Here is a 1,264-nt window from a genome sequence, read left to right on the forward strand (position 1 = left end):
TTTTCAGCTCCATCAGCTCCTTTAAGCACTTCTCTGTATTGGTTATTCTAGTTATACATTCTTCTAAATTTTTTTCAAAGTTTTCAACTTCTTTGCCTTTGGTTCGAATGTCCTCCCGTAGCTCAGAGTAATTTGATCGTCTGAAGCCTTCTTCTCTCAGCTCGTCAAAGTCATTCTCCATCCAGCTTTGTTCCGTTGCTGGTGAGGAACTGCGTTCCTTTGGAGGAAGAGAGGCGCTCTGCTTTTTAGAGTTTCCAGTTTTTCTGTTCTGTTTTTTCCCCATCTTTGTGGTTTTATCTACTTTTGGTCTTTGATGATGGTGATGTCCAGATGGGTTTTTGGTGTGGATGTCCTTTCTGTTTGTTAGTTTTCCTTCTAACAGAGAGGACCCTCAGCTGCAGGTCTGTTGGAATACCCTGCCGTGTGAGGTGTCAGTGTGCCCCTGCTGGGGGGTGCCTCCCAGTTAGGCTGCCCGGGGGTCAGGGGTCAGGGATCAGGGACCCACTTGAGGAGGCAGTCTGCCCATTCTCCGATCTCCAGCTGCGTGCTGGGAGAACCACTGCTCTCTTCAAAGCTGTCAGACAGGGACATTTAAGTCTGCAGAGGTTACTGCTGTCTTTTTGTTAGTCTGTGCCCTGCCCCCAGAGGTGGAGCCTACAGAGGCAGGCAGGCCTCCTTGAGCTGTGGTGGGCTCCACCCAGTTGGAGCTTCCTGGCTGCTTTGTTTACCTAATCAAGCCTGGGCAATGGCAGGCGCCCCTCCCCCAGCCTTGCTGCCGCCTTGCAGTTTGATCTCAGACTGCTGTGCTAGCAATCAGCGAGACTCCGTGGGTGTAGGACCCTCCGAGCCAGGTGCGGGATATAATCTTGTGGTGCTCCGTTTTTTAAGCCCGTTGGAAAAGCGCAGTATTCGGGGGGAGTGACCCGATTTTCCAGGTGCCGTCTGTCACCCCTTTCTTTGACTCAGAAAGGGAACTCACTGACCCCTTGCACTTCCCAAGTGAGGCAATGCCTCGCCCTGCTTCGGCTCGCGCACAGTGCGCGCACCCACTGACCTGTGCCTGCTGTCTGGCACTTCCTAGTGAGATGAACCCGGTACCTACGATGGAAGTGCAGAAGTCACCCGTCTTCTGCGTCGCTCACGCTGGGAGCTGTAGACCAGAGCTGTTCCTATTCGGCCATCTTCAAAAGTAAGTTTTTAAAAAACCTGCATGCGATACAATAAGATTTCTATAAATAAGGATATTGGAATAAAGGTAAAATAC

At 51.0% G+C, this 1,264-nt stretch overlaps 1 annotated feature.

Moving 5' to 3' along the window:
- Positions 222-868: an enhancer, noted in NCBI's record as "OCT4-NANOG-H3K27ac-H3K4me1 hESC enhancer chr4:11067600-11068246 (GRCh37/hg19 assembly coordinates)". NCBI's record gives its function as "activates a minimal SCP1, AML or CMV promoter by ChIP-STARR-seq in primed H9 embryonic stem cells {active_cell/tissue: H9 hESC(primed)}" and the evidence as "EXISTENCE:reporter gene assay evidence [ECO:0000049][PMID:30033119]".

The sequence above is a fragment of the Homo sapiens genome, chromosome 4 (assembly GCF_000001405.40).
Source record: "Homo sapiens chromosome 4, GRCh38.p14 Primary Assembly".
Taxonomy (NCBI): domain Eukaryota; kingdom Metazoa; phylum Chordata; class Mammalia; order Primates; family Hominidae; genus Homo; species Homo sapiens.